The 12,490-nt window shown below is 46.5% G+C and overlaps 1 long non-coding RNA gene across 2 annotated transcripts in view; it reads right to left on the bottom strand.

The window, feature by feature from the left end:
• LOC102724322 (uncharacterized) overlaps positions 1-10,581 on the bottom strand; it is a 30,452-nt gene extending 19,871 nt beyond the window's left edge. For both annotated transcript variants that reach the window (XR_001746660.2, XR_001746655.2), the window contains exons 1-2: positions 10,302-10,581; positions 4,036-6,167 (exon numbers count right to left, since the gene is read on the bottom strand). This is a non-coding gene — a long non-coding RNA (uncharacterized LOC102724322). The remainder of the gene's footprint in view (positions 1-4,035; positions 6,168-10,301) is intronic.
• Positions 10,582-12,490: the final 1,909 nt, after the last annotated feature.

Below are 12,490 nucleotides of genomic sequence, written 5' to 3'. Positions count from 1 at the left end.
ACTGATTTCTTATTGACTAGGTTATTTTATAATTTTGTAGGAAATGAAGTAAAATTGTAAAAAAAATCTGATGGTAAGGCAAATTCTTTTTTTTTTTTTTTTTTTTTGAGACAGAGTCTCGCTCTGTCACCTAGGCTGGAGTGCAGTGGCATGATCTCTGCTCACTGCAAGCTCCGCCTCCCGGGTTCACGCCATTCTCCTGCCTCAGCCTCCCGAGTAGCTGGGACTACAGGCGCCTGCCAGCACGCCTGGCTAATTTTTTTTTTGTATTTTTAGTAGAGACAGGGTTTCACCGTGTTAGCCAGGATGGTCTCGATCTCCTGACCTCGTGATCTGCTGGCCTCAGCCTCCCAAAATGCTGGGGTTACAGGCGTGAGCCACCGCGCCTGGCTTGGTAAAGCAAATTCTTATCCATAGCAATGCAAATAAATTTTGTCTGATAAAGATACAATTGATTTCTCCTCTGCAGAAGAGAGAACATCAAACATTACATTTTATTGCACTGTAGGATATTAACCAGTTTTGCATCTATTTGCAAAACCATTTTATCTTTTCTCTTTGCCTCTCTGTTCCTCAAATTCCCTTTGAAATAATCTTAACATCTTACCAGTGCCCTCATTAATTGAATTGAATAAAATATTTGACCTGTGTTCATTGTATATTTGCACAAAACTATGTTTTCGATTTTTTTTTTTTTTTTTTTTTTGAGACAGCGTCTTACTCTGTCACCCAGGCTGGAATGCAGTGGCACAATCTTGGCTCACTGCAGCCTCAACTTCCCAGGCTTAAGCAATCCTCCCACCTCAGCCTCCCTGGTACCTGGGACCACAGGCTCATGCCACCACATCTGGCTAATTTCTTGTATGTTTTGTAGAGATGAGATTTCACTATGTTGCTCAGGCTGGTCTTGAACTCCTGGCCTTAAGAGATCAGCCTGCCTCAGCCTCCCAAAGTGCTGGGATTAAAGGTGTGAGCCGTGGTGGCTCACGCCTGTAATCCCAGCACTTTGGGAGGCTGAGTCGGGCAGATCACAAGGTCAGGAGATTGAGACCATCCTGGCTAACATGGTGAAACCCTGTCTCTACTAAAAACAGAAAAATTAGCTGGGCGTGATGGCAGGCTCCTGTAGTCCCAGCTACTCAGGAGGCTGAGGCAGGAGAATGGCGTGAACCCGGGAGGTGGAGCTTGCAGTGAGCCGAGATCATTCCACTGCACTCCAGCCTGGGTGACAGAGCCAGATTCCATATCAAAAAACAAACAAACAAACAAAAAAGGTGTGAGCCACTGCGACTGGCCCTTGTTTTTACATCTTAAAATATTATACTTTACATTGTTAATTCCTGCAGGTTTTCCAGTATCTAGGCTAATCAGAAGAAAGTAAATGCCACAATTTTCACAAATGGACCAAAAGTAGTTTCCACTATCTGCAGTGCTTGTTGGCAACTCTGATAATTGTAATGGAGTTTTAAACAGACATTTTATGAGAATTAGAAAAGAGGGGAAAAGCATTTACTAGGAACTGTATATTGCCAATTACTGTGCTAAATACACAGACGTTATCTCACTTATTCCTCAGAAAATCTTTGAGATCTTTGTCCTAATTTTGCAGGAATAAACAGGAAATATTTGAGTAAGTATGGTAACACCCAACTGCAGATCAAGTCACATAAGTGGAAAATTACAATAATGGTTCATGAACCCTGGTGGTTAAAAGGGCGTATCATAAAAAGGGTGGACAATTCAGTAAACATGTGAATGAAAGGACAACCAGCAAGATTAAAGTCATAAACAAGAAAAACTGGTGCCAGTGCTTGGGCACAGCTTAATTACATAGGCACAGCTTGAAGGCGTCTTTGTTTCTTTAGACCTCAGTTAGCAACAGATCTTCCCTCACACACCCACCTTCCACCCTCTGCTTCCCTTCCTGAGCAAGAGAGGGAATTTAGCATTCACTTCAGTGCCTGCCTTCCTACATCAAGACCTATGTACATACCAGGCAAAATGAACTCTTTAAGAATAAAAGAAAAAAAAACCTATGTACTGTGATTCTCAAAAGGATTTGTACTCCATGGCCAGAAGGCAGCAAGAGTGACTAGAAGCTGATAGAACTGAGGTAGCCTCTTAGAAACAGAAAGAGAGTACGTCCCTCCACTGTATCTGTGATACTATCTAAAACACAAGATCTAGCCAGGAGTGGTGGCTCACACCTGTAATACCAGCACTTTGGGAGGCCAAGGCAGGCAGATCACTTGAGGTCAGGAGTTCGAGACCACACTGGCCAACATGGTGAAGCCTTGTCTCTATTAAAAATACAAAAATTAGCCAGGCATGGTGTCACACACCTGTAATCCCAGCTACTCGGGAGGCTGAGACAGGAGCATCACTTGAACCTGGGAGGTAGAGATTACAGTGAGCTGAGATTGCACCACTGCACTCCAGCCTGGGCAAGAGAGTGAGACTCTGTCTTAAAAAATAATAATAAATAAATAAGATCTGATGCAAAATGGAATAATGCTAACTTTTTTATTTTTTGAGACGGATCTGGCTCTGTTGTTCAGACTGGAGTGTGGTAGTGTGATCACAGCTCACTGAAGCCTCAACCTCCTGGACTAAAGCAATTCTCCCACCTCAGCCTCCTGAATAGCTGGGACCACAGGTATGTGCCACCACACCTGGCTAATTTTTTATTTTTTGTAGAGATGGGGGTCTCACTATGTTGCTCAGGCTGGTCTTGAACTCCTGGCCTCAAGTGATTCTCCTGCCTTGGCCTCCTAAAGTGCTGAGATTAAAGGTGTGAGATGCCATGCTCAGCCAGCATAATGCTAATATTTAAAATATTGGTTGTTATATTTTTCTCTATTTTTGCCTCTATACTTGATATATTTTATGAAAAATAAGTTTATTGTCAAGAAAAAGAAAATCTGGAGGAAAAAATATTTAAATTATTTAATTATTTGTCTTGATTTTGAACCCCCACCCCATAACAGAAGAGAGATGGGAAGGTAGCTAGGTGCCGGCTGCTTTTTTTTTTCTTTTTCTTTTTTTGAGACAGGGTCTCACTTTGTCACTCAGGCTGGAGTGCAGGGGCACAATCTCGGCTTACTGCAGCCTTGGCCTCCTGGGTTCAAGGGATCCTCCTGCCTCACCCCACCAAGTAGCTGAGACCTGGGGCACCACCACACCCGGCTAATTTCTGTTTGTTTTTGTAGAGAAGGGATTTCACCCAAGCTGGTTTCAAACTCCTGGACTCAAGCGATTCTCCTGCCCTGGCCTCCTAAAGTGCTGGGATTATAGGTATGAGCCACCACACCCAGCCTCCAGCTGCTTTTCTTTTCTTTTCTTTGTATTTTTTGTTTTGTTTTGTTTTTGAGATGGAATCTTGCTCTGTTGCCCCAGACTGGAGTGCAGTGGTGCAATCTTGGCTCACTGCAACCTCTGCCTCTGGAGTTTAAGTGATTCTCCTGCCTTGGCCTCCCAAGTTTAGCTGGGATTACAGGTATGTGCCACCATGCCCGACTAATTTTTTTGTATTTTTAGTAGAGACGTGGTTTCACCATGTTGGCCAGGCTGGTTTCAAGCTCCTGACCTCAAGTGACCCACCCTCCTCGGCCTCCCAAAGTGCTGGGATTACAGGCATGAACCACCATGCCCAGCCTCCAGCTGCTCTTTTTTTGTTTGTTTGAGACAGAGTCTCGCTCTTGTCACCCAGGCTAGAGTGCAATGGTACGATCTCGGCTCACTGCAACCTCTGCCTCCTGGGTTCAAGCAATTCTCCTGCCTCAGCCTCCCAAGTAGCTGGGATTACAGGTACCCACCACCACACCCAGCTAATTTTTGTATTTTTAGTAGAGATGGGGTTTTGCCATGTTGGCCAGACTGGTCTCGAACTCCTGACCTCAAGTGATACACCTGCCTCGGCCTCCCAAAGTGCTGGGATTACAAGCATGAGCCACTATGCCCGGTCACCAGCTGCTCTTAACCACCCCTCAGGGACCTTGTGCTGCTCTTGCTTCTCCAGTCATGGGCTCTACCTACCAGCATCCGGCCTCCCTGGTCAGCATCCCTTTTTGTCTTCTACTTGACGGATGTCTCCTTCTCTTGGAAATTTTAGGACAGTTCATGGAGATCCTATATATACAAGATTTGCTGGCTTCAGCCACAAAGTTTCTTCAGGCCTGATTTCCTCCTCCAGCTCCCCAGTCCTGACTTCAGTTCTCACTCTACCCCTGCCACCTGTATCTTCTACTTCTCCTGTGTTTGCACGTTTTATTTTATATTCTCATAAACAGATTCCCCATCCATACACATACTGCCCAGACCAGTGCCTAATGGTTCTACAATTTATCAAAGAATATCTGCGGTTACCAAATCAGACCCTGGGGATGCCCGCATGGTTTCCCCAAGCAGCCAACTTGTTTCTGTTGTCACACTGCATTCCGGCAGGGCTGCCCAGGTCATTTGAAGGAATCTGGGCCTCCAGCAGCACTTGAGGGTGGCTCTGGGAAAGCATCCTTCACTCTGCAGGGCGCCTGCTTGCTGAACAGGAAAGCCGGGGGCTTTCTGAGGCTGCAGTCAGAACCTGCTGGTGTGTTTTTGGTTTGTTTGTTGTTTTTTGAAATGGGGTCTTGCTTTGGTGCAGTGGTGCAATCATAGCTTACTGCAGCCTCAACCTCTCAGGCTCAAACAATACTCCCACCTCAGCCTCCCAAGGAGCTGGGACTACAGGCATGCACCATCAAGCCTGGCTGATTTTTGTATTTTTTGTAGAGAAGGGGTTTCGAACTCCTGGCCTCAAGTGATCCTCCTGCATTGCCCTCCCAAAGTGCTGGGATTACAGGCATGAGCCACTGCGCCCGGCCCTGCTGATGTTGAACAGGTTTTGCCACTGCCTGGTACCATACTCGTGATGAGGGTGGCTGTTTTAGGGGAGCCCTGAATCAGCAGAGGGGACCAGTGCCTGCGCACAGAAGTCTTAGGGCACGTCCCAGCCCTTTCTTTTCCCTCAACATCTCCTGAGGAGCCTGTAGTCACTCTGACACTGTCACAGTGCCTCTGGAGCCCCTCCTTTCCCTAAGTCCCATCCACAACTCCTTGGGACAAATGGTTTTGCATCATTCTCACCTGGCCCAGGTCTCCTTCTTGTCCATAGGGCTGTTATGACAGCCTTTGACGGACACCTCTCTGAGACCAGGTGCCATGCTTGACCTTTTCCTGAGCAGCTGATTTGCTTCCTGTCAATGGAAAGCAACGCAGCTGGTCTGGTATGTCTCATTCTTGATAAATCTCTTCGTTCTTTTGAACCCGCTGGCTCCAGGGATCATACTTCTTTCTGAAAACCTGAGTTGTTCCCATTGAACTTGCCAGCGGCCTTGTCAGGAGGTTTCTCTGTTTCAATTTTTAGTTCTCGGCTCCGTGAGGGATGAGACTGGAACACGATGCTGCAGCCCTGCTCTCTCCTCAGTGAAGGCTGAAGGTGTGTGACATGGAAGGTGAGAAGGTGGCACAGACGGGGTCGCTCCATGAGAGGAGGAGTGCAAGGAGAGAGGAGAGGCGGCCAGAGGGCTCAGACCTCCAGGACCCTCAGGGGAGGGGGCACGAAGATGAGCCAGGAAAAACCGTGAGAAGGAACAGCGCAAGGCCGGCTGGGGCCAGAGCCAAAGAGAGGGTCATCGGCCGCAGAGGTGGGTGACGGTCCTGAGCGCTCACTGCTGACTGTTAGGCGCCACTGAGGGTATTGCACTCTCACCATTCAATGCCATGAAAGGGAGGGAGGAGGCAGCGCTGACCTGCAGAGGGCAGGAGGGCAGAAAGAACTGGTTTGGGCTGGTTGTTTTTGTTTTTGCCATGGAGGAACATGTTGGTCCACAGAGGGGAAGCCTCGGGAAGAAAGGAAAACACTGAACATGCAAAAGGTGAAGGAAATAATTGACCGAGCCAAGTCCCCCTTGAAGGAGGAGGATGCGAAGGTGGGAAGTCATTGTGTTAATTGAAGCAGAGGGTGATACCCCAGGGTGCACAGTCTGATCAAGTCTGATAAAGGTGGACAGAAGCTCCCAGCTCAGCCTAAAGGTGGCATCTCCTCAACTCCCATCCCCCAGTCTGAATCTTGGGATCTTAGCAGTGCATGGGCCTGGAGACCAAAGCAATGTTAGGAGAAGGATGAAGGCCTGTAGGGAAAAAAAAAAGTGTGAGCGCGGCTGGCTTGCCCTGAGCCAATTTACTCATGGGGGTGCCTGGAAAGAGGACATGAAGGAAGAGAAAGAAAGAGAATACACACACACACATACACACACACACATACACGCTAGCCAAACCCACAGGGCAGGCTTTAGTCTATTTTTCCTGCAGTCACCTATAAGGGAGAATGAGATGAGAAAGCGAACACAAGAAGCCAGGCCCTAACATAGGTCCCTCCATGCCTTCTGACTTCCCTCCTGCCCACTGCACGGAGGCAAATGAAGAGTAGAAGAAAGCTTCCAGCGCCAGGCCTGGGATTGAGTGCACCCGACTTGGGTCCTCGGTAAATACACCCCAGAACTTCCTAAGTCATCGCTCTTCTCAGTCATGGGAGCAACTGGGGTCTGGGATCAGCACAAGTGCTCAAGAGCTTAGAACTGTGCCAGGCTGTTCTAACATAAAAAGGCACCCTCCGTAGCTGCTGAATGCATGACTACTTGAATGTATTCATTATAATGTATATTTGTTATATATTTTTGAGACAGAATGTCTTCCTGTCACCCAGGCTAGAGTGCAGTGACATGATCTTGGCTCACTCCAACCTCCACCTCCCGGGTTCAAACGATTCTCCTGCCTCAGCCTCCTGAGTAGCTGGGATTACAGGCACCTGCCACCATGCATGGCTGATTTTTGTATTTTTAGTAGAGACAGGGTTTCACCATGTTGGCCAGGCTGGCCTTGAACTCCTGACCTCAGGTGATCCACCCGCCTCAGCCTCCCGAAGTGCTGGGATTACAGGTGCGAGCCACTGCACCCAGCCCTAAATATCTCTTGAATGAATGACTAAATGTATTTACCGTGCATTGGAAAAAAAAATATATGATTGGCATGTTAAACCCATGATTTCACAAATAATATTGGTTAGAAAAGGCTAAGTTTAAAAAAATGAATTGACTTAAAGTTGATTTCAAGAAAGCTATAAATAGAACCTGGGAGGTTAAGTCTGCAGTGAGCCAGGCTCACACCGCTGCACTCCAGCCTGGGTGATAGAGTAAGACCCTGTCTCGAAAGGAAAAAGAAAGAAGAAAGAAAGAAAAAAGAAAAGAAAGAAAGAGAGAGGGAGACAGAAAGAGAGAGAAAAAAGAGAGAGAAAGAGAGAGAGAAAGAGAGAGAGGGAGATAAAGAAAGGGGGGAAATAAAAAGAAGAAAGAGAGAGAAAGAAGAAGAAAGGAGAAAGAGAAAAAAGAGAGGGAGAGAGAAAGAGAGAAAAAGAAGGAAGAGAAAGAAAGAGAGAAAGGGGGAGAAAGAAGAAAGAGAAAGAAAAGAAAGAAAGAGAGAAAGAAGGAAAGAAAGAAGGAAGGAAGAAATAAGTAAAATAATATTACAAGCTGTGCTTGGTACAGCATTGAGCCCGAGGTGCACTGTCTCCCCTCCTGCCTGCGTCACCCACAAGGGCCTACATCACCTTCTGCCTGGCTGGCAGAGAGGAAGGAAACTCATTAAGTGTCAGATGGTGGATGTGCACTTTGCCTAGGTATCTCCTTCACCTGCTCCCAGCCCTCTGAAATTTATTCCTCCGGAAGTACTATCAACCTTAGAGAAGTTAACTTGTCCAAGATCAATCAACTGTAAATGGCAGAGACAGAATTCAAACTAAGCTCTGCTGACTTCAAATCTTGCTCCTTTCACTGTCTTCCAGCCGAGTAGAAGAGAGCGGTCAGTGTATACAGCATTGTTCAGCTTGGGAGGGGAAGGACGAGGGAGTTTGCCTAGGAGTTTCCCTGTCTTTATGAAGTCAGTGGCTAGATCTTCTGCTGAGCTACTGTGGGGGAATTTGATAAGAAATCACCCTGATTGAAGCTTTTATCCTGTTCTGATAGAAAATTCAAAGAAATAAAAGCACTGGAAAGGGGAGACCCTTGGGGAGTAAATGTACCACCATCCATGACATTTTATGTTGGGACCAATCGATTTATCCATTGGGTATGTACTTTTACACTTATCCTCATATTTGAGGAAGGGCCAAATTTTTATGACTTTCCCTTACTATAGAGATCTCTAACTCCTTGTTACTCAAAGTATGGTTTGTGGACCAGCAGTAGGGTGACCAACCATCCCGATTTGCCTGGAGCTCTGAGATTTTCTGGGACAAGGGACTTTCAGTGCTAAAACTGAGGTAGTCCTGGGATGAGTTGGTCACTCTAACCAGCAGCACCAGCATCCCCTGGGAGCTTGTTAGAAATGGAGAATTCCAGGCTTACTGTATCAGAATCTGCACTTGAACAAGACCATACACACATTCAGGTCAGAAAAGCATTTCTCTAGGTTAAATATTGGTAGAGTGGGTTGAATGGTGGGTGGGCTTTATCTAATCAGTTGAAGGCCTCAATAGAACAACCCCCTATATTAGTCAGGGTTTTCTATAGAAACAGAATCTATAAACTTAGTTTAAGGAATTGGGTCACACAATTGTGGGAGCTCGATGAATTCAAAATCTGATGGGGGAGACCCAGGAAGCAGCTGCGGTTCAAGTCCAAAGGCAGTTAGGCTGGAAACCCAGATGAGGTCCAAAACCATATGCTGGCAGAATTCCCTTTTGCTTGGGGGAGGTCAGCCTTTTGTTTGATTCAGGCCTTCAACTGATTAGATAGAGCCCACTCACATTATGGAGGGCAATTCACTTTGCTCAAAGTCCATCAATCTAAAGGGAAATCTCACCCCAAAACACCCTCACAGAAACATCCAGAACAATGTTTGACCAAATATCTGGGTATCATGGCCCAGGTAATCTGACATAAAAAATTAACCATCACAGAAATCCCTGGAACCTGTGTTATCTTATCTGAAAAAAGAGTCTTTGAAGATGTTAGAAAGGATCTTGAAATGAGGAGATTATCCTGGATTCTCCAAGAAAGCCCCCAACTTAATGACAAGTGTCCTTATAAAAGACACACAGGGCCGGGTGTGGTGGTTCACACCTGTAATCCCAGCACTTTGGGAGGCCGAGGCGGGTGGATCACCTGAGGTCAGGAGTTTGAGACCAGCCTGGCCAACACGGTGAAACCCCGTCTCTACTAAAAAAATACAAAAATTAGCTGGGCGTGGTGATGGGAGCCTGTAATCCCAGCTACTCAGGAGGCTGAGGCAGGAGAATTGCTCGAGCCTGGGAGGCGGAGGTTGCAGTGAGCTGAGATCGGGCCTCTGCACTCCAGCTTGGGTGACAAGAGTGAAATTCCATCTCAAAAAAAAAAAAAAAAAGACACACAGGCTGCCATGGTGGCTCACACTGGATCGCTGGAGGCTAGGAGTTCAAGGCCAGCCTGGGTAACATAACAAGACCCCCATCTCTATTTTATAAAAAGAGAGAGAGAGAGAAAGAAAGGAGAGACATATCAAAGAGATGAAGGCTGTGTGAAGGTGGAGAAGAGATTGGGGTAATGTGGCCACAAACCAAGGAAGCCAAGGAATGCCTCCAGCCACCAGAAACTGGAAGAGGCAAAGAAGAATCCTCCCCAAGAGCCTCCAGAGGGAGCATGGCCTGCCAACACCTTGATTTTGGACTTCTGGCCTCCAGAACTGTGAGAGAATGAATGTCTACTGTTTCAAGACACCGGTTCGTGGCAACTGGCTATGGGAGCCACAGGAAGCTAATACGACTGGGAAATGGCAAGAAGCTTGTCTACCTGACTTCTCTGCAGGGCAGTGGGTCCACACCACGCACTTGCACACATACTAGGAGGGAGGCCAGAGGCAGTCCTCGCTTCCTCAGGGACCCCTTCCTGCTGGTCTCCTCCCACCTCCTGCCCGGGTTCTGCTCTGCCACAGTAGCTCAGCTCTGTGTCCCCACCGCTAGCCGGCATCTCCTCCCTGCTCTGCACCACAGTCCTGTGTGCTTCACTCTGCAGACCCCAGGCTCCAAATATGTCATCTTTATTCTCTCTCTCAGATCTAGGAGGCCTTCATCCCTCACCTCAGCCCTGGGCCCACCTGCTGCCACTATCTCTCAAGTCACAAGCATTTATTGTGCATCTGCTAGGAGTTGGGCACTTGAAGTGCTGGGGGCCCCTAGAAGTTTCTGCCCTTCAGAAGTTCACTGTCTGCTCAGTAATTTTCCATCGTCTCACCTCTCTGAAAACATCGCCTCTGGCCATTGATTTCCAGGAATCTGCTTAGTGCCTGCACCTCCTCCCCCTCACAGGATGCAAGGATACCTGTGTGTGGGATATTAGAGCTGAAATGTAACTGCAGAGTCTCTTTCAAAGGTGCACAGTTTCATTTGTTGGTCATCACTGTGGAAAAAACCATATGCCAAATGAAAGTAAAGCAAGGGTCTGGGCGTGGTGGCTCATGTCTGTAATCCCAGCACTTTGGGGGGCCGAGGTGGGTTGATCACTTGAGGTCAGGAGTTTGAGATCAGCCTGGCCAACATGGTGAAACCCCATCTCTACTAAAAACACAAAAATTAGCCGGGCATGGTGGTGTGCCCCTGTAGTCCCAGCTGCTGAGGAGGCTGAGGCAGGAGAATTGCTTGAACCCAGGAGGTGGAGGTTGCAGTGATCCAAGATTGAGCTACTGCACTCCAACCTGGGCAACAGAGTGAGACTCTGTCTCAGAAAAAAAAAAAAAAAAAAGAAAAGAAAAGAAAGTAAAGCAGGGGCTGAATTTGACATAAATAATGACAAATTATTATTTCATTAAAGCCACAGACCTAAGGCCTAGTCTTATTTGTATAAGAAAAGATAAGGAACAATGATGTTACATTTTCTAATCTAGAGTAGCTAAAAGTTTACACAAATGTTAACCCAGTACTAGAAAATGTGAGGATAGGTCTGATTCCATATCTTGCATCTTAAAAAAGTCATACTGTAAAATCTACTTCAATAATCAAGATGTTTAATCAGTATAGATTTGTGCGTATTTATCCCCGTGTTATGCTCTGTGAGTCCAAGAATAACTCATTCTATTGTGCTTTGCTTTATCACACCTTGCAGATACTGCACGTTTTACAAATGGAAGGTTTATGGCAACCCTGCCTGGAGCAAGGCTATCGGTGCCATTTTTCCAACAGCATGTGCTCACTTCACGTCTGTGTCACATTTTCATCATTCTTACAGCATTTCAAACTTTTTCATTATTATAATTATGACTGTGATTATTATTTCGAGACAGGGTCTCACTCTGTTGCCCAGGCTGGAGTGCCGTGGTGCGACCACTGTAGCCTCAACCTCCTGGGCTCAAACAATCCGCCCACCTCAGCCCCTTGAGTAGCTGGGACTACAGACGCATGCCACTAGTTTTTTTAATTTTTTTGTAGAGACAGGGTCTCATTATGTTGTCCAGGCTGGTCTTGAGTTCCTGGACTCAAGTGATCCTCCAACCTCAGCCTCCCGAAGTGCTAGGTTTACAGGCATGATCAGTGACCTTTGATGTTACTATTGTAATTGTTTTGAGGTGCCACAAATCGCACCCATATAAGACAGCAAACTTAATCAATAAGTGTGCATGTTCCGATTGCTCAACTGACCAACCGGCTATTTCCCCATCTCTCTCCCCTCTTCCGTGGGCCTCCCTACTCCCTGAGACACAATAACATTGAAGTTAAGCCAACTAATAATCCTACAATAGCCTCTAAGTGTTCAAGTGAAAGGAAGAGTCGCACGACTCTCACTTTAAATCAAAAGCTACAAATGATTAAGCTTAGTGAGGAACGCATGTCGAAAGCTGAGATCGGCCAAAAGCTATGCCTCTTGTGCCAGTTAGTCAAGTTGTGAATGCAGGGGAAAAGCTGTTGAAGGATGTTGAAAGTGTCACTCCAGGGAACATACAAATGATAAGAAAGCAAAACATCCTTATTGCTGATACGGGGAAAGTTTGAGTAGTCTGGATAGAAGATCAAACCAGCCACAACATTCCCTTTAGCCAAAGCCTAATCCAGACCAAGGCCATAACTCTTCAATTCTGTGGAGGCTGAGAGAGGTGAGGTTATCTATAGAAGAAAACTTGGAAGCTAACAGAGGCTGGTTCATCAGATTGAAGGAAAGAAGCCAGCTCTATAACATAAAAGTGCAAGGTGAAGCAGCAAGTGCTGATGTAGAAGCTGCAGCAAGTTATCCAGAAGATCTGGCTAAGATCACTGACGAAGGCGGCTGCGCTAAACAACAGATTTTCAATGTAGATAAAACAAACAGCTTTCTCTTGGATGAAGAGGCCATGTAGGACCCTCATAGCTAGAGAGGAGAAGTCAGTGCCTGGCTTCAAACTTTAAAGAACAGGCTGGCTCTCTTATTAGGAGCTAATGCAGCTGGTGGCTTTA

This window comes from Homo sapiens, chromosome 9, assembly GCF_000001405.40.
Source record: "Homo sapiens chromosome 9, GRCh38.p14 Primary Assembly".
NCBI lineage: Eukaryota > Metazoa > Chordata > Mammalia > Primates > Hominidae > Homo > Homo sapiens.
This window is presented reverse-complemented; position numbering and strand designations above follow the sequence as displayed.